The sequence below is a fragment of the Homo sapiens genome, chromosome 6 (genome assembly GCF_000001405.40).
Source record: "Homo sapiens chromosome 6, GRCh38.p14 Primary Assembly".
NCBI classification, from domain to species: Eukaryota; Metazoa; Chordata; class Mammalia; order Primates; family Hominidae; genus Homo; species Homo sapiens.
The window spans coordinates 23360041-23381451 of record NC_000006.12 but is presented as its reverse complement, the minus strand read 5'-3'; the positions used below and the strand labels follow the sequence as shown (position 1 = coordinate 23381451).

Below are 21411 nucleotides of genomic sequence, written 5' to 3'. Positions count from 1 at the left end.
TTGGCATATATCTCACTGCGTAGGTCCTGATTTGTGATTATACATATGCTGAGTATTCCTTTCGCATCATTTACATATTAAAATCAATACTACAGTTTACATCTGCAAAAACCTTAGCCATAATTGTGATCAAACTTAACTTAAAATTTATAGAGTTTTAAAGTTGGAAGCTTCTTTATGGCTACTTGACCAAAAGTCATTCAAATAATATTTAATTCCCATGAACCAGCCTGGTGTGATGCCAGTTTTGTGAAGTACCCCAGTTTGCTTTCATTTTGTCTTTTTATGAAATTTTATTTCCCTGAAGATGTCACCTCTCCATCAGGATCTATTAGTCAGGGTTTTCTAGAGGGACAGAACTAATAGGATATCTATGTATACAGAAAGGGGAATTTATTAAGTAGTATTAACTCACACAATCACAAGGTCCCACAATAGGCTGTCTGCAAGCTGAGAAGCAAGGAAGCCAGTTCGAGTCCCAAAGCTGAAGAACTTGGAGTTTGATGTTCGAGGGCAGGAAGCATCCAGCATAGGAGGAAGATGTAGGCTGGGAGGCTAAGCCAGTCTAGCCTTTTCATGTTTTTCTGCCTGCTTTATATTCGCTGGCAACTGATTAGATGGTGCCCACCCAGATTAAGGGTGGGTCTTCATTCCCCCAATGCACTGACTCAAATATGAATCTCCTTTGTCAACACCCTCACAGACACACCCAGGATTATACTTTGCATCCTTCAATCCAGTCAAGTTGACACTTGGTATTAACCATCACCAAGGGCAACTCCCATTCAGCTGGGGTTAGTACGTCCTTACTGTTGCATAATTGAAAGAAGGATTTGTTCTCTGCCCCAGACCTTACCAGCTGTGGATCTGCTGACTAAATCTCTTAACTACTCTATGCTATAGTTTCCTCATTGGAGCATATTATATTTTCAAAAAAACATCATGGCAATATTTCTGATCCCTCATGCTCTTCCAGAACCTCGCCAACTTCCTATCAAGAGGGGAAGCCTCCTCTCATCCTCCCTTTCTGCTTGGACCTGGGCAGGTTTTTCACTTTTATTTCTGGGCAGAAATAATACTACATGACTTCCACAGCTAGATTAGGAAAGACCACATAGCTTCCTCTTGGCTGTCTTTCTCTTGGGATATTTGCCCTTGGAATACAGCAACCATGCTGAAGGGAAGCCCAAACAAGTTCACTTAGAGAGGTCAAATGAAGAGGCCCACAGGGAGAGAAACCAAGGCTCCCAGACCAGTCAGCATCAACAACCACACATTAAGTGACTACAGTACCTTCAGATGATCCTAGTTCCAAACTTCCAGTCTTCCACTGAGACCTCAGAACACATCAGGGAGCAGAGGAAGCTATCTCCGCTGCATTTTGTCCAAACACCTGAACAACTCAATCCATGAACATAGAAATGGTTGCTTTATGCCACTAAGTTTTGGGATGCTTTGTTATGCAGCCATAGTAACTGGAAGAGATTTGGGTACTTGGGACTACTGGGGGTCTACCACTACAAACCCTAAAAATGTAGCAGTACCTTGAGGACTAAGTGGCTGCCCAGTCTGAAGGACCTTGGAGAGTGTTCCCCGGGTGTGGCCCACTCACAGCCCAGAGTAACAACAGGAACTGACAACTGTCTATGGTTTCGATGATGACTTGAAGTGCTTCCAGATCTGAGGGAAAATAGAAAGATGGGAGTTTGGGCAGGGTTACTGGGAAATAACTTTCTTATTGACAGCATTAGGACTGATTTCCTGTTTACTATATTTTCGATCCTTCTGAGGCTTGATTTGTCTACTTTTGGTTCAGAGATATAGTATTTGATAAAGAAAGAATACGATATTTTGAATTTCATTGTTTTCTCAAGTGATAAGAGATCACTCCCTATATGTGATTCTATCACTTTCTCAATAAACATTTTCCTCTCCTTCAAGTCCCTTTTATTTTCTTATCCTTTAAATCAATCTACTCCTATCCCAGAGTTTACGGTAAGAAAACAGCTGACAGGGATACAATATAATTTATCAGCTTTACCATTTTCTGCAGTTTTAATAGTTCATTTTTCTTCCTATCTAGACAGTAACTCAGCTTGACTGTTCCATCTTCAAATGCTGAGGAAGCTATGGATACAAAATTCCCGCAAGATTCCTCATTCCTGGATCCTATGCTGGTGAAAGAGTGAACTGAAAGGGATATTATTAGGACGTTAGCAATAACTCAAGTTTGTGAGCTCTGTCTATTCTTTTATTGTCCTTTTTTTGTTTCAATTTTTCTTTTCTGTCCTTTACTCTTTCCCTGAAGTAAAAAAGCGATTGTCAAACTGTGCACAGGTAAAGATAAAATGGTTTAAGGAGCACCCAAAAGGTGCTTCGTGTCTTTCAAATAAACGCAACAACTAGAGCCCAGAGAGATTTATCATTGCACTTTGTAAAATCCTTTTGGTTCACTTATTTATTTATTTTTATTACACCTGCCTCTCCCCCTCACCTTCCTCCTTATACTCTATGGCTGCTGGTTCCTGTTTATCATTTATTTAAGGGGCATGTTTTCATTTATTCACAAAAAGGTGACATCACATCTATTTCAAGTGACAGCTACCAAATAGCCTGGTCTAGCCTGATTAAGTGCACAGATAGTTTATTTCCTTTTTCCCTAAAGAAGAATCATCCTCATAGATTGGAGGTAGGTGAGGAAGAAGTAGAAGGGCCGTTGGAACACATTCATCTTTTACTAATAATTGTTAAAATTTAGCTAAGTTTTAAGGCTTCGTAGATTGGGTACATTCTATATTTCTATAAATATTTGTTTAATTGTCTGAAAAGGGAGAGCTGCATTTACCAAGGTAATTATTCAGTAAACATAGGTAACAATGAGCTACTTGGAGGACTATAATTTTATACTTAAATAAAACATAAACAGTTCAGTAGCCAGGCTAAGACCAATTTTCTATGAATCAGTCAAGTAAAGATTCGGAATGAACAGGGTACAAATTTTGGCAAATATATAACCTTGCTAAAGTAGATAGGAAAAGCATAATGACAACCGTTTCTTAGGCCCTTTAAAAGTGGGAGACTGGGCATTCCTCCTCATGTAGAATTAAGGTATTAGTTAAGCATGCTAAGGAAACTAAATTAAGAGACTGTCTAACTTTCTGCACATTTAATGGTTAGAATTCTGTTTTTTAAAAGTCTAGATGAAAACAAAAATCGCTAATGCCAGCTAGAGACTGGGTGCATATTTTTTGATGTCAGATGGTTCTATCTGGTTAGTTTCTTCTGTCCTGAGAGCAATAGAAACTTGGATAAAAGCAACCATTTAGGTCTGTTAGCCTCTCTGGCTCTCCCTCATGCCTGGAGAGAATTGTGTAAACTGTATATCACTGTACATATCTCCTTGAAATTCAAATATATTGTTTATTTGTTCATGTTGTTTGCTTTCCCACATTTTACAATTGAGCCTCATAAATAGGCAGTCCAGGATTTTCCTCTCAAACTGCTCATCTGAAAATTCTAAAGACACATGGAGTCATACTCAGTTTAAAGGCATTAGGGCTATTTCCAAGTGCCAGAGGGAATCAGAAAATGAGTGTCAAATCAATGAAAGTGATATTCTTGCCTGGCTCTTTTCATGGTGCTGTGTGTGGGACTGTGTCTACTACAATGTCCTTATTAGTTCAGTTCTCTGCACAGGACCTGGTGATAGCCCAGAATTGGATGTAAAAAAAAAAAAAAAAATAGGTTTTTTAGTTTAGACTCACAGACTTGGCTTTTCTCTCCCAGTCATGGCATTATGGCAGGGTAACTGAGCCCTGAGTGTGTACAGCTTCAGCCATGGACTCTGCTGCCATCCAGCCTTCTCCACAAAATGCCAGAGCTTGCTGAAAAACTCAGATGGCCAGTCCAAGCTCTGCTCTCCCTACAAGGCGTTCTCCTCTGGGGCCTGTATTGTCCTTTTCTGCCCCCATATCACAGTCACAGCCACTCCCATCCATCCACTGAATCTCAAAATGGAGTCAGGTTTGAAACTTTCACCCAGAAGGTCTCCTGAATCCAGGGAATATTTACCCTGTGACTTCCAGGAATGTGCCAAACAAGAATGGTAAAAATAGTAACACTGGTTCAGCTAGAGAAACGTTTCAGAAGGGAAAATGACACCTCCTAGATTTGCATTTTTATAACTAAAAATGATCATTTAAGAGCTTTAGAAGGAGGCAAAAAAGTTTTCTACCCAGATGACCTTCTATCTAAGTTGCTAAACAGAGAAACCTGGCAGGATGTTTAAAGCTTATCTTACCAGGAGACCTATTTTATATGCTTAGTTGAGTTTTTGTTTCATTATGTTATTATTTGTGAAGATCCCCAGTATATGACACTCATAAGTAACCTCAGTAAAGTTTCAGTTTACAAAATCAATACAGAAAAATTGGTTCCATTTCTATACACCCATAATGTTCAACATGAGAACCAAATCAAGAATGCAATCCCATTTACAATAGCAACGCAAAAAATACCTAGGAATACACCTAACCAAGGAGGTGAAGGATCTCTACAAGTGGAACTACAAAACACTGCTGATAGAAATCATAGATGGCACAAACAAATGGAAAAACTTTCCATGCTCATGGACTGGAAGAATAAATACCATTAAAGTGGTCATACTGGCCAAAGAATCTACATATTCAACAATACTCCTACTAAGCTATCAACATAATTTTTCAGAGAACTAGGAAAAAAACTATTTTAAAATTAATATGAAACCAAAAAAGAGCCCAAATACCAAAGCAATTCTAAGCAAAAAAGAACAAAGCTGGAGACCTCACATTACCTGACTTCAAACTATAAGTTTACAATAATCAAAACATCACAGTACTAGTACAAAAAGAGAAACAGAGACCAATGAAACAAAGTAGAGAACCAAGAAATAACACCACACACCTACAGCCATCTGATCTTCAATTATATTGACAAAAAAAAGCAATGGAGAAAGGACTCCCTATTCAATAAATGGTGCTGGGATAGACAGCTAACCACATGGAGAACGATGAAATTGGACACCTGCTTTCACCATATACAAAAATTAACTTAAAGTGGATTAAGTATTTAAATATAAGACCGCAAACTCTAAGAATTCTAGAAGAAAACTTAAGAAATACCATTCTGGACATTAACCTTGGGAAATAATTTATGATTAAGTCCTCAAAAGCAATTGCAACAAAAACAAAAATTGACAAGTGGGATCTAATTAAACTAAAGAGCTGCACAACAAAAGAAACTATCAACAGAGTAAACTGACAAGCTACAGAATAGCAGATTTTTCCAAACTATGAATCTGACAAATGCCTAATATCCGGGATCTATAAGGATCTGAAACAATTGAACAAGCAAAAACCAAACAATCCCATTTTATAAAGGGGCAAAAGACATGAACAGACACTTCTCAAAGGAAGACATACAAGTGGCCAGCAAACACATGAAAAAATGCTCCACAACACTAATTATCAGAGAAATGCAAATCAAACCCACAATGAGATACCATCTTACACCAGTTAGAATGGCTATTAATAAAGGGTGAAAACCCAACACATGAGGGCAAAGTTGCAGAGAAAAAGAAATGCTTAAACACTGTTGGTGGGAATGTAAATTAGTTCAGCCACTGCGGAAAGCAGTTTGAAGATTGCTCAAAGAACTTAAAACGGAACTACCATTTGATCGAGCAATCCCTTCACTGGGTATGTATCCCAAAGAAAATAAATGTTTCTACCAAAAAGACTTATGCACTTGTATGTTCAACACAGCACTATTTACAATAGCAAAGACATGTAATCAACCTAGGTGCCCATCAGTGGTGGATTAAATAAAATGTAGTACATATACAACATGGAATATAACACAACCATAAAAAAGAATGAAAGTATATTCTTTGCAGCAACGTGGATGCAGCTGGAGGCCATTATCCTAAGCAAATTAATGCAGGGACAGAAATCCAAATGCCACATGTTCTCATTTATAAGTGGGAGCTAAACTCTGGATACTCGTAGACATAGAGATGGCAACAGTAGACACTGTGGACTAATAGAGGAGGGAGGGAGGGAGCAGGGCAAGGTTTGAAAAACAAACTAATGGAAACTACGCTCACTATCTAAGTAGCAGGATCACTCATATCTCAAACCTCAGCATCATGCAGTATGCCCATGTAACAAACCTGCACTTGTACCCCTGAATATAAAATAAAAGTTGAAATTACTTAAAAAATAAGCTCTTCTTTTTTTTCCTTTGAGACAGGATTTTGCTCTGTCACCCTGGCAGGAGTACAGTGCCATGATCTCTGCTCACTGCAACCTCTGTCTCCTGGGTTCAAGTGATCCTCATGCCTCAGCCTCCCGAATAGCTGAGATTACAGGCACCCACTATCATGCCTGGCTATTTTTGTACTTTTAGTAGAGATGGGGTTTTGCCATATTGGCCAGGCTGGTCTTGAACTCCTGGCCTCAGGTTATCCGCCCGCCTTGGCCTCCCAAAGTGCTGAGATTACAGGTGTGAGCCACTGTGCCCAGCTCGAAGCTCTTCTTCTTATAGGTTTCAAACTCATTTATATATTTAAAAAATCAATACATGGGGTAGGGTATACAGCTACATGGCAGTATAATCCAAATATAACTGTTAATAATTTTAAAAAGGAATACATTAAGTGTTCATAGCAGCCACTTTTCAGTTGTTTGATAATGCATTACTCCTCTTAATTACTAGTATCAGAAATAAATGTATATTATTTTATAATGAGAAAAATACTAATTTGAAAATCAACATGTAAGAGTTGATAACTGTGGTTTTTCCTTATTGTTTTTGAAAGTAGAAGTAACATAAATTTCCAAAACATATGTATATAGTCTAAAACATAGAACTATAGGGATTTTTATATTGCTCTATGGTATAACTTTTTAAAGGAGAGTATCTGAAAATAGAAAAAAAAAGGAAAATTGGTAGTTGCTGTTCCCACAATTCTACTAAAATATTATTAGCTTTTATTTACCCTCCTATTTATCACCTGTTAATTTAAGTCAAATTTCTTAAATTTAGCCTAAGAGTCTCTAATAGCAACACATTCCAGGTGTTTACTTGCAACTGTGTAAAACTTTACTGATCTTAAAACTCTTCCCCTTGCAGTGTAGATTTCGTCACCTTTAATACCCTCCATAATGTTGTGTACTGCTATTATGTATTCACTTGCCTTTCACTTTCCCTAATGAAAGATCTTGCTATCGTTTTTCACTGTATTCTGTACCAGGAAATGGCTGAAATCTCTTCATAATTTAATTTGTCTTTCTTAGAACAATTTCAAAGTTTTCTGGAAGGGTGCTGACCTGACCTGTGTAGGAAGTGTTTGTGGATTGTGTTTTCTTGCTTTTTCAAACCTGGCTAATTCATTAGACGTTATTTTGAATGTCTCTTTTAAAAAATGCCTCAATCAAAAAGGGACTCTTTAGGGAGGGCTTTGGCATCACAGCTCTGCTTCCCACATGCCCCCTCTGCTTTTATTTTCTCTTCAAATATATAAACAAATAAATGAACAGTCTGGACAGCACTTAAGTGAGAAACACAGAAAAATAATTCAAGTAATTTTTAGCAAATTCAAAAGTTAACAGTATTTTCCTATGGTTATATCTGGATTTTGCATATGCTTAATCTCTAAGTAGCTCTAGTTCATAAAGAAGGTAGCACTGGTCCTCAAAGCTTTACTATGAACCCACTCCCATCTTTATTTATATGCCAACAAACAGCTAAATTTGTTTGTTGGCCTCAATGTTGAGGTTATGCTGGAGTAAAAAAATTATAAAGGCATTAATTATATTCAAATATTATTAAAACCCTTATAATTATCATTTTCTTTGTCTTGCATTTATATATATATATATTTATTTGTTAAATTGAAGCACATGAACTAATTTTGTAAATGGAACTTTCTTTCTTTCTCTCTCTCTCTCTTTCTTTCTCTCTCTCTTTCTTTCTTGGTGTGGGGGACAGGGTCTCACTCTGTCACCCAGGCTGTGATCACGGCTCACTGCCACCTCAACCTCCTGGGTTCAAGTGATCCTCCTACCTCAGACTCTCAAGTAGCTGGGACCACAGGTACGTGCCACCATGCTTGGCTATTTTTTTTTGTTTTTTGGGGTTTTTTTGTTTTTTAAGAGACACGGTCTCCCTATTTTGCCCAGGCTGGTCACCAAATCCTGGGCTCAAGCAATCCTTCCACCTTGGCCTCCCAAAATGCTAGGATTACAGGGATAAGTCACCATACCCAGCATGAATGTTCTTTTGGTAAAAACAACTACAAGCTATCAATTGATGCTAGAACTACTGAGTGCAAGATGTTGGGATACTGCATATTTACTGGGTTTAAAAATATCATTCACTCATTAATGGAACAGGTGCCTTTATAACACGCAGATTGCACAGTGCCACCTTAACCAAGTGATCAAATTTAGCACCACCAATAGTGAAATAAAATTGAAGTTAAGTGCTACTTGCTATGAAGCAATAAAAAAAAGTACACAAGGTCCTCCATGTGGTATTTTTGAAAACAAAAAGTTAACATAAATGTAATCAGTTATGAGGAAACAATCAAAGAGACCCAGACTGTGAGACAGTCTACACAAACTCCAGCCTGAATGTTTTTTTTAAAAAAAAAAAAAAAACATGTCGGGGCCAAGTGCAGTGGCTCACACTTGTAATCCCAGCACTTTGGGAGGCTGAGGTGGGTGGATTACGAGGTCAGGAGTTTAAGACCAGTCTGACCAAGATGGTGAAACCCCGCCTCTACTAAAAATACAAAAAAAAAAAAAAAAATTATCCAGGCATGGTGGCGGGCACCTGTAATCCCAGCTACTCAGAAGGCTAAAGCAGGAGAATCACTTGAACCTGCGGGGCGGAGGTTGCAGTGAGCCGAGATCGCACCACTGCACTCCAACCTGGGCGACAGAGTGAGATTCCGTCTCAAAAAAAAAAAAAAAAAAAAAAAAAAAAGTCATGATTCAAAATATGGACTAAATATAATTAGATTTACTGCTCACATGTGTTTAATTGTGAGTATTCTGGTTATATGCAAAAATGCCTTTATTCTCAAGAAATGCATGACAAAGTATTTAGAGGTGAAATATCACAATGTCTGCAGTTTACCTTCAAATGGCTGTCCACCACCATTAACAAAGTATTAGCATTTAAGATAGGGAGAAAGAAAACAATAATAGCTAAATATTGAATTAATTTTTAAGTGAAGAATAGATGAATGTTTATTGTGCTATATTTCAATTTTTTGTAGATTTGAGAACTTTCAAAACAAAATATGGGACTGAAGAAAAAAAGAACACTAAATGTAGCAAGAAAATTATCCCTTACGAATAAAGTTGCACAGAGCCCTGAAGTTGCATTTCTGTTTACTGTTTTTGCACTTAGAAACATTGCCCTGATGTCTCAAAAGGAATTGTGTCCTCCTACATAGTTAATGTGACTGCTTGTTATGTTTGCCATTTCCTGAAGGCATGTATTTAGTAGATGCTGAATGATCTCTCCTACTCTTAGCTAAAATATTTGAAAACAAACAAACTGAAGGCAGCTCAAAGCAGCATGTTTCCTTCCAGGGTTTCTTTGCGAGCCATGTGTGCAATTCATTCATAGTCAGGTATCTCTTAATGGCTTGAGATTGTTTAGAGGGTGAGTACAGAATAGATATCACAGAGAGACATCTGGGAGTTAAATTTGTGGCATATGTGACCATAAAAGTATGAATATAAATGTGCGGGTATGGATAAGAGAGGGAATATATATGTATATATCACTATATGATGTTTATAGCTGTAGTAAATTTAGAAAGAGCTATTTATAATTAAGAGCATATTGAATGGCTTCAGATCATCTATAAGAGTGTGCACATTCTCACTCATACATGATTTTTCAAGGTGCATGGGAGAATGACAGGAAGATCAATACCACTCCGGTTGATTATAAGAGGCTGGAAAGATTAGGTTGAACATTTTCACAGACTAAATGACAATATAACAAATCAAAAATGTTGAGGTCAAATAAAAGGCAGCTTAATTCCCACACCTCTGTGGATAGTACTGAGATCATACCTCAGCCTGACACAGAATTAGCAAACACAGATGCTTGCTTATATATTTCACCTCTTTATGTCACTGGAAGCCATTGTTCCTATTATCTCAAACCCTCTCTAAGACCAGCAAAAGGAAAGGCTCGTTTTCCCTTCCAGTTAACTTACTATTTCAATTCATTTTATTCAAAAAACCTTAATAGTACAAAATACCAACACAGAAGTAAAATCAACTTGAAATTTCTTTGGAAAAAGAATCACTCCTTGGCCATATGTTAAATATATTCAAATAGGTCTGGCAGAATGTTGCATCTGTTCTTGTCTTCCCTTATAGTTTTATCAGCTTTAAAGGTCAGTTGTGATGGTGTTTATTAAATAAAAATAACAAGGGAGTTTGCTTCACCTTTAAATCTTCCACCTACTTTGCATTAGGCTCTCCGCTCGAGACAGATAACCCATTAAAGCAATTTCACCGTATTTGTAGATTATATATCCTGCACTGGTTTTTCTTCCTTATGAAAGGTCTTATTTTCTTTTTAATTATTACAGGTTAATTCAGAGTGTGAGTAATAATTGGAAATTGAAAAAAAGTGTTATGTGCATGTATCTTGAATTAAATCATTAATATTGAATAATATTCTTCTTGAATTACCAGTCAACATAAGTACTTGGGAATTTTGCAGATATAATTCAGTAATGGACACAAAGTGAGATCATCAATGTTTTTTGCTTGCATATTATTTTTAATAAAAAAGAATATCATTTTAATAAAAAAGAATATCCATCCAAATTATGTTATTCTTTTAAGGAGAAAAGTGAATATTTTCTATTTATCAACTCCTTTTAAATCAACTCCTGAGTAAACTGACTGGAAGCCTAAAGAAAACTTTAACATTTAGGTAAATATTTTGTGTGGGACAAAGCATTTCTGGAGGTTATGATTGTTTTTGGAATTGAGGTAGATACATTGGCAAAGGAGATGGGGAAGCCATGCCCAGAGACATAGGCAGGCATCCAGGAGAAAGTGACATAGTGGGAATCAAGGACAGAAGGAGCCTTGAAGAAGTCAAGAATGCCAACTGGGTCAAATGCTGCTGAGAAAATATGATAAGCTTGGCAAGGGTCCATTGGATTTATTGTCATAGAAGTCATAGGCGGCCAATTTGGAGGAATGGTGAGCACAAGAACGAGACTGGAGTGGCTACAGAAATTCAAACCAGGAGCCAGCACTGGTTTCAATGTTGAGAACCACTCACATCCTTCAGAACCGTCTGACGGTGAAATGGACTCCTTAAGAGATCATGTGTTTCCTGTACATGGAAATGCTCAAGGCAAGGTTGAATTGCCAGTTTTCAAAGATGTGATGGCATGAATTGAAACATCTGTTGAGAGATGAAGAAAGGTATCTATTTAATACCCCTAAGGATCTTCCAGATACTAAAAACAAGCTTTCTAACTTTTACAGGGTTTGGTCTTATTCAGCCATAAATAATAATATTATCAATAATAGCATGTATTATTATTATTATTTGAGACAGAATTTTGCTCTGTCGCCCAGGCTTCAGTGCAGTGGCATGATCTAAGCTCACCACAACCTCCACCTCCCAGGTTCATGCAATTCTCTCACCTCAGCCTCCTGAGTAGCTGAGATTACAGGCGCCCACCACCACGCCTGGCTAATTTTTGTACTTTTAGTAGAGACTGGGTTTTGCCATTTTGGCCTGGATGAACTCCTGACCTCAGGTGATCTGCCCACCTCGGCCTCCCAAAGTGCTGGGATTACAGGCGTGAGCCACCATGCCCGGCCAACATGTATTATTGATAGTTAGGTGCTTTATAGCTTATACAAAATAAGTCTTGCTTACACAGTTTACCTAATCCTCACAACAATCCTAGAAAGTAGGTAGGCAGTCATTAACAGTAGAGCTGTTAAATGTTAGGGCAAAAGCTTCATCCCAGGTCTTCTAACTTTAAATGCAGTGCTCTTTATACCACATTATAATTCTTCACATTTATTCACATGCTTCTGATTCATTCTCTTTTGATTCAGTGGCAGCCAATGTTGCACTTTGTGAGGTTACAAATGGAAGAAAACCCTCTAACCACATAGTTCAGTATTCTGTGCTACAACCATGTCTGAACCTTGGGTCATCTGAGAAGAGGCCCGGGATAGGTGGCAGGAGTGAGGTAATGTACACTGACGATAACCATTGCATTTTTAATCACAAGGAACTATGACAAGTGGCTACCAAAAATAATGGCTGTTGACCCTGCTAAAATAGCAAAGACAGATCATTTATATATTGAGGGTACAGCCTCTGGGACTCAGTGGATGCCCAATATCTTTTAAACTTAGCTGCTCTCACATTATTGAATACAATATATTTCTTGTGAAAATGAGCTCCATGCCCTTGATTTCATTTCTGGATAAACGTCACTAACCCCACTTTCCTGTCTTGGACAAATTTGTGACATAGGTGAATACCAGGGATGCTCATTTTCTATTAACAGATTCTGAAGGGAAATTGAAAATTCAAATGAAAAATTCAAAAGCACATGCATCAGTACATCATGGTATTGGTATATGCTGAATATGAACAAATATGCCAGATGCCCATTTCTAAGTGTCACCTGCTCAAGCCCTATTCAGAGGTAGGCCATGTCATGGAAAAGGCCTATCTAGATTCTAGAGAGTGGAGAAAACCCTTTGCTACTTGCCCCCTTGAGTCTTTATTGGCAAAGTTGTTGTTGAAATTAACCACAGTTGTAATCTCATAACCACATACATGATGGAAATTCTCAAGATGGTTTTATAAGGGTCAGGCAACAAAAAACAGAGGGAGAATTTTTGATGTTGGTTCACAATACTATTAAAATGAAAAAATAATTTTTGACTTGAATATTACCCTATTATAATTAATATAACTTATAACCTGAAAATGAGAACATGTACATTTTGCTCTATCTGAACTCAATGAGGAAAGAGACAGTTTATGAGCTAAAGAAAATATAGGAATTTTGTTTATATTTCTATATATTTCCATGCAGCCTTCTTATGCTTTTAACTCTAAATTAGCAGTTACAGATCATGATAGAGATGTACAGATTCTGAGAACTTCCTACAAGATTAAGCAAATAGAAGTCTCATGTAGTTGGAAGGCAAAAAGGAATTAGAAATATCTACAAAATCATAACAGAAACATCATTCCCTCAAAACTTACTGGGGAAAGAGAGATTTTGGTTGACAAATATACAATCCCTCTAAATATAATCTAGAATAATAATGCCTTCAATCTAAAGTAAGTAAAAGTAAGAAGGAAAAAACAAACAGAAAGTAGGAAGAACTTTGGCCTTAAGAAATTAAAATATATCAATAAACAAAATTTTGAGTATAAACATAAACATATTTGTACATAAGCAAAAAATGGATTGTTAACAGCTAAAAGGTAGATAGTAAAAGTGTCAAAGTTATTCTGAACAATAGTAGATCTCACAATAGGAGATATTCTATTCTGAAACACAAAAATACGAAATATCCTGTCTGCGGCTCCCCATGTCAAAGAAGGCATGGTATTAATAGGTATATGAATATGGGATTAATGTAACAAATATTTATGAATACCTACTCTGTCCAAGGCATTTTTCTGGGTACTAGGGAAATATCAACAAACAAAACCGAAAAAAATCCCTGACTTAATGGAGTCAGTGTTCTAATACAAGACATCAGCAATTAAAGGATCATTAACTAAAATGCTATGCTAGAAGCAATAAGCATCCAAGGGAAAAAGTAAAATATACAATGAGATATGCAGTGTCAGGGAACAGGAGCCAACATCTTAGATGGGTGCCAAGAGAAGACATCACTAACAAAGTAACTATTTTAGCAAATGACTGAAGAAAAAGAGGGAGGGAACCAGAAGAGTGTCTGAGAGAAGACCATTCCAGGAATAGAAAAACTTCTACCTCAATGCACACTTGAGGTAGAAGTGTGCATGGCTTGTCAAGGAAAAGCCAGAGGCCAGCATGTCCAGGGCAGCAGGAACAAAATGGAGAGTAGTTGGGGATGACCTCAGAAAGATAACGAGAAGTTGAGTAGATCCAGTAGGGCTTTGCAGTCGTTGTATGGATTTTATCCTTTACCCCAAAATGACAATCCACCAGAGGGTTGAAACAGAGGAGTAATGTTACCTGTCTTAGATTGTAAGGTTCTCTCTGACTACAGGGTTGGGATTGCACTGAAGGGTAGCCCTTGAGGAAACAATTAAAGGGTGACTTCAAAACTCCACATCCTCATGATGGTGGTCTGAGCCAGGAGTATGACTGTGAGGATGGAAATAAATGGTTGCATTACAGACACATTTTGAAGACAGAGCTGACAGTATTGGCTGAGAGATTTTCTGTAAGTTGTGAGTGAAAGAAAAAAGTCAAAGATGGCACCATAGCCTATGAATCCTGAACACTGAGAAGAAGAGACACCCCATTTCCTGAGATGGGGGAGGAGTTCGTTTGGGGGTGTGGTTAAGATCAGGTTCTCCTCTTTTAGATATGTCACATTCGCAATCCCAAATTAAACATCCAGCTGCAGTTCTTAAAAAGGCAGTTAGTTAGAAAAGTCTGAAATTCAGAAGAGAGATCTGGGCAAAATATAAATTTTGAGACTCATCAGCATATATATGGTAATTAAAGAGTTAAATCCGTGAGAGATGATGATATCATTGAATGAAACCTTTATAGTAATTTAAAAAAAAAGTATAACTAAAATATCAAATGATTTTGTCATGATTTTATATACAAACAGCCCTTTGTATGTGTGGGCTGGGTTCCCACATCTCTAGATTCAACTAAGCATAGATAGAAAAATATTCAATAAGTAAATAACACAATAAAAATAGTACAAATTTAAAAAATGGTATAACAACTATTTACATAGTATTACATTGTAGTAGGTATTATAAGTAATCTAGAGATGACTTAAAGTATATGGGAGGTTGTGTGTAGCTTAAATGTAAATACTACACCAATTTATATAAGGGACTTGAGCATCCCTGGATTTTGTTATCTCTGGGGGTCCTAGAAACAATCTCCCAAGGATACAATTGAACCACTGTAACTTACTAAATGAGCTGATGTCCAGTCACTGTAGCTATGGATGCGTGGGTATATATGCACAAACTTTTATATATACATATGCATATGTACGTGTATTAATATTGTATAATATTAAAGATATTAATACTGTAAAGAAAAACTAGCCATTGTATGAAAAAGTTGTTCATATGTACATCTAAAGAAGAAAAATATCATAGAAGTGTAGTGTTTCTTTTGTAGTGAAGGCTATCTCTACAGTCAGCTATCTGTCTATCTATCTATCTATCTATCTGTCTGTCATCTATCACAGTCTATTCCCACAAGCACCTCATTATGTGACATCTATTACCTTGTGGAATTTACTATTCATTCAAAGGTTGGCTGTCAGCCTTATGGTCTCAGAAAATGGATTTTATCAGTACAATGAGCCTATATTGTGATAGGCTGTTAGTGGTTGAGCAAGGCTATTTTTTCGTCTTCTTGGGGACATACTAGACTATATTGCTCATCTCCTTTGCAGTTATATGTGGCAAGAAGCAGTGGAAGTGATGTATGCCGATTCCAGTGCTGGCATCTAAAAATATCCCAGGCATACTTCTCTATGTTCTTTTCTCTTTTCCTGAGTTGAATAAAAACTGTTCCAAATGATCTAAGAGCTACCTCTGCATACATTTTTACTGTTTTGTTATTCCTGTACTGTTAAGTGAATAAGAACTAAACGTTTATTCTTTCTAAGTCATCATTGTTAATCTATCAAATAAGTAGATTTGCATTAATCTTTCTGTTCTGAAATATAAAACAGAACACCATTGAGAACACCAGCTTGAGCCTACCAAGGTTTCCATAAATTCTTCCTGCAAACTTCCCCAATTTAAATGCAACCAAATTTTATTTTAAATTTTCACATTATTTGAATGCAGTCTTGAGCCTCCCCTTCAGTTCTATACTTCCAGCTAACATCTCCCCAGATTGAAATTTTAAAGCTTCTAATGTACATATGTATAAGAAGCTAAAACATAATCAAAATGTTGCTTGGTGAACACATATTTGGAGCAAAGAGAACTGAGTGAATTAAGTATGTATCAGGATAAGATGGCCAAATATATTTATTTAATAATAGAATAGGGATACATGTGGGTGGAGCCAAGATGGCTGAATAGGAACAGCTCCAATCTACAGCTCCCAGCGTGAGCGACACAGAAGACAAATGATTTCTGCATTTCCAACTGAGGTACCCGGTTCATCTCACTGGGGATTGGCAGACAGTGGGTGCAAGACAATGGGTGCAGCACACCGAGCATGAGCCGAAGCAGGGCGAGGCATTGCCTCACCCGGGAAGTGCAAGGGGTCAGGGAATTCCCTTTCCTAGCCAAGGAAAGGGGTGACACATGGCACCTGGAAAATCGGGTCACTCCCACCCTAATACTGCGCTTTTCCAACCGTCTTAGCAAACGGCACACCAGGAGATTGTATCCCGCACCTGGCTCGGAGGGTCCTATACCCACGGAGCCTCATTCATTGCTAGCACAGCAGTCTGAGATCAAACTGCGAGGTGGCAGCGAGGCTGGGAAAGGGGTGCCCGCCATTGCCAAGGCTTGAGTAGGTAAACAAAGCGGCCAGGAAGCTCGAACTGGGTGGAGCCCAACGCAGCTCACGGAGGCCTGCCTGCCTCTGTAGACTCCACCTCTGGGGGCAGGGCATAGCCAAACAAAAGGCAGCAGAAACCTCTGCAGACTTAAATGTCCTTGTCTGACAGCTTTGAAGAGAGTAGTGGTTCTCCCAGCACGCAGCTGGAGATCTGAGAATGGACAGACTGCCTCCTCAAGTGGGTCCCTGATCCCCGAGTAGCCTAACTGGGAGGCACCCCCCAGTAGGGGTGGACTGACACATCACATGGCTGGGTACTCCTCTGAGACAAAACTTCCAGAGGAACGATCAGGCAGCAACATTTGCTGTTCACCAATATCTGCTGTTCTACAGCCTCTGCTGCTGATACCCAGGCAAAAAGGGTTTGAAGTGGACCTCCAGCAAACTGCAACAGACCTTCAGCTGAGGGTCCTGACTATTAGAAGGAAAACTAACAAACAGAAAGGACATCCACACCAAAACCCCATCTGTACGTCACCATCATCAAAGACCAAAGGTAGATAAAACCACAAAGATGGGGACAAAACAGCAGAAAAACTGAAAATTCTAAAAATCAGAGTGCCTCTCCTCCTCCAAAGGAATGCAGCTCCTCACCAGCAATGGAACAAAGCTGGACAGAGAATGACTTTGACGAGTTGAGAGAAGAAGGCTTCAGACGATCAAACTACTCCGAGCTAAAGGAGGAAGTTCGAACCCATGGCAAAGAAGTTAAAAACCTTGAAAAAAGATTAGACGACTGGCTAACTAGAATAACCAATGCAGAGAAGTCCTTAAAGGACCTGATGGAGCTGAAAACCACAGCACAAGAACTACGTGACGAATGCACAAGCCTCAGTAACCGATTCGATCAACTGGAAGAACGGGTATCAGTGATGGAAGATCAAATGAATGAAATGAAGCAAGAAGAGAAGTTTAGAGAAAACAGAATAAAAAGAAATGAACAAAGCCTCCAAGAAATATGGGACTATGTGAAAGGACCAAATCTACATCTGATTGGTGTACCTGAAAGTGATGGGGAGAGTGGAATAAAGTTGGAAAACACTCTGCAGGATATTATCCCGGAGAACTTCCCCAATCTAGCAAGGCAGGCCAACGTTCAGATTCAGGAAATACAGAGAACGCCACAAAGATACTCCTCGAGAAGAGCAACTCCAAGACACATAATTGTTAGATTCACCAAAGTTGAAATGAAGGAAAAAATGTTAAGGGCAGCCAGAGAGAAAGGTCAGGTTACCCACAAGGGGAAGCCCATCAGACTAACAGCTGATCTCTCGGCAGAAACTCTACAAGCTAGGAGAGAGTGGGGGCCAATATTCAACATTCTTAAAGGAAAGAATTTTCAACCCAGAATTTCATATCCAGCCAAACTAAGCTTCATAAGTGAAGGAGAAATAAAATCCTTTACAGACAAGCAAATGCTGAGAGATTTTGTCACCACCGGGCCCGCCCTAAAAGAGCTCCTGAAGGAAGCAGTAAACATGGAAAGGAACAACCGGTATCAGCCACTGCAAAAACATACCAAATTGTAAAGACCATCGATGCTAGGAAGAAACTGCATCAACTAATGAGCAAAATAACCAGCTAACATCATAATGACAGGATCAAATTCACACATAACAATATTAACCTTAAATGTAAATGGGCTAAATGCTCCAATTAAAAGACACAGACTGGCAAATTGGATAAAGAGTCAAGAGGCATCAGTGTGCTGTATTCAGGATACCCATCTCACCTGCAGAGACACACATAGGCTCAAAATAAAGGGATGGAGGAAGATCTACCAAGCAAATGGAAAACAAAAAAAGGCAGGGGTTGCAATCCTAGTCTCTGATAAAACAGACTTTAAATCAACAAAGATCAAAAGAGACAAAGAAGGCCATTACATAATGGTAAAGGGATCAATTCAACAAGAAGAGCTAACTATCCTCAATATATATGCACCCAATACAGGAGCACCCAGATTCATAAAGCAAGCCCTTAGAGACCTACAAAGAGACTTAGACTCCCACACAATAATAATGGGAGACTTTAACACCCCACTGTCAACATTAGACAGGTCAACGAGACAGAAAGTTAACAAGGATATCCAGGAATTGAACTCAGCTCTGCACCAAGCCGACCTAATAGACATCTACAGAACTGTCCACCCCAAATCAACAGAGTATATATTCTTTTCAGCCCCACACCACACCTATTCCAAAATTGACCACATAATTGGAAGTAAAGCACTCCTCAGCAAATGTAAAAGAACAGAAATTATAACAAACTGTCTCTCAGACCACAGTGCAATCAAACTAGAACTCAGGATTAAGAAACTCACTCAAAACCGCTCAACTACGTGGAAACTGAACAATCTGCTCCTGAATGAGTACTGAATACATAATGAAATGAAGGCAGAAATAAAGATGTTCTTTGAAACCAATGAGAACAAAGACACAACATACCAGAATCTCTGGGACATTCAAAGCAGTGTGTAGAGGGAAATTTATAGCACTAAATGCCCACAAGAGAAAGCAGGAAAGGTCTAAAATTGACACCCTAACATCACAATTAAAAGAACTAGAAAAGCAAGAGCAAACACATTCAAAAGCTAGCAGAAGGCAAGAAATAACTAAGATCAGAGAAGAACTGAAGGAAATAGAGACACAAAAAACCCTTCAAAAAATCAATGAATCCAGGAGCTGGTTTTTTGAAAGGATCAACAAAATTGATAGACAGCTAGCAAGACTAATAAAGAAGAAAAGAGAAAAGAATCAATGCAATAAAAAATGATAAAGGGGATATCACCACCGATCCCACAGAAATACAAACTACCATCAGAGAATACTATAAACCCCTCTACGCAACTAAACTAGAAAATCTAGAAGAAATGGATAAATTCCTCAACACATACACCCTCCCAAGACTAAACCAGGAAGAAGTTGAATCTCTGAATAGTCCAATAACAGGCTCTCAAATTGAGGCAATAATTAATAGCTTACGAACCAAAAAAAGTCCAGGACCAGATGGATTCAGCCAAATTCTACCAGAGGTACAAGGAGGAACTGGTACCATTCCTTCTGAAACTATTCCAATGAATAGAAAAAGGGGGAATCCTCCCTAACTCATTTTATGAGGCCAGCATCATCCTGATACCAAAGCCTGGCAGAGACACAACAAAAAAGAGAATTTTAGACCAATATCCCTGATGAACATCGATGCAAAAATCCTCAATAAAATACTGGCAAACCGAATCCAGCAGCACATCAAAAAGCTTATCCACCATGATCAAGAGGGCTTCATCCCTGGGATGCAAGGCTGGTTCAACATATGAAATTCAATAAAGATAATCCAGCATATAAACAGAACCAATGACAAAAACCACATGAATATCTCAATAGATGCAGAAAAGGCCTTTGACAAAATTCAACAACCTTCATGCTAAAAACTCTCAATAAATTAGGTATTGATGGAACATATCTCAAAATAATAAGAGCTATATATGACAAACCCACAGCCAATATCATACTGAATGGACAAAAACTGGAAGCATTCCCTTTGAAAACTGGCACAAGACAGGGATGCCCTCTCTCACCACTCCTATTCAACATAGTGTTGGAAGTTCTGGCCAGGGCAATTAGGCAGGAGAAGGAAATAAAGGGTATTCAATTAGGAAAAGAGGAAGTCACATTGTCCCTGTTTGCAGATGACATGATTGTACATCTGGAAAACCCCATCGTCTCAGCCCAAAATCTCCTTAAGCTGATAAGCAACTTCAGCAAAGTCTCAGGATACAAAATCAATGTGCAAAAATCACAAGCATTCTTATACACCAATAACAGACAAACAGAGAGTCAAATCATGAGTGAACTCCCATTCTCAATTGCTTCAAAGAGAACTAAAATACCTAGGAATCCAACTTACAAGGGATGTGAAGGACCTCTTCAAGGAGAACTACAAACCACTGCTCAAGGAAATAAAAGAGGATGCAAACAAATGTAAGAACATTCCATGCTCATGGGTAGGAAGAATCAATATCATGAAAATGGCCATACTGCCCAAGGTAATTGATAGATTCAATGCCATCCCCATCAAGCTACCAATGACTTTCTTCACAGAATTGGAAAAAACTACTTTAAAGTTCATACAGCACCAAAAAAGAGCCCGCATCGCCAAGTCAATCCTAAGCCAAAAGAACAAAGCTGGAGGCATCACGCTACCTGACTTCAAACTATACTACAAGGCTACAGTAACCAAAACAACATGGTACTGGTACCAAAACAGAGATATAGATCAATGGAACAGAACAGAGCCCTCAGAAATAACGCCACATATCTACAACTATCTGATCTTTGACAAACCTGACAAAAACAAGCAATGGGGAAAGGATTCCCTATTTAATAAATGGTGCTGGGAAAACTGGCTAGCCATATGTAGAAAGCTGAAACTGGATCCCTTCCTTACACCTTACACAAAAATTAATTCAAGATGGATTAAAGACTTAAACGTTAGACCTAAAACCATAAAAACCCTAGAAGAAAACCTAGGCATTACCATTCAGGGCATAGGCATGGGCAAGGACTTCT

The 21411-nt window shown here is 38.3% G+C and overlaps 2 long non-coding RNA genes across 6 annotated transcripts in view; one reads left to right on the top strand and one right to left on the bottom strand.

Annotated features, from left to right (window-relative positions):
* LOC105374976 (uncharacterized) overlaps positions 1–21411 on the top strand; it is a 289589-nt gene that overhangs the window by 244883 nt on the left and 23295 nt on the right. The gene's annotated exons all lie outside the window — the stretch shown is intronic.
* The window catches only part of LOC102724749 (uncharacterized), a 66451-nt gene that overhangs the window by 22690 nt on the left and 22350 nt on the right, over positions 1–21411 (bottom strand). For 2 of the 4 annotated variants that reach the window (NR_187792.1, NR_187791.1), the window contains one exon: positions 11230–11493. The exons of the other annotated variants lie outside the window; for them this stretch is intronic. This is a non-coding gene — a long non-coding RNA (uncharacterized LOC102724749). Of the gene's footprint in view, positions 1–11229; positions 11494–21411 lie in introns of those variants that run through there. 4 annotated transcript variants of the gene reach the window in all.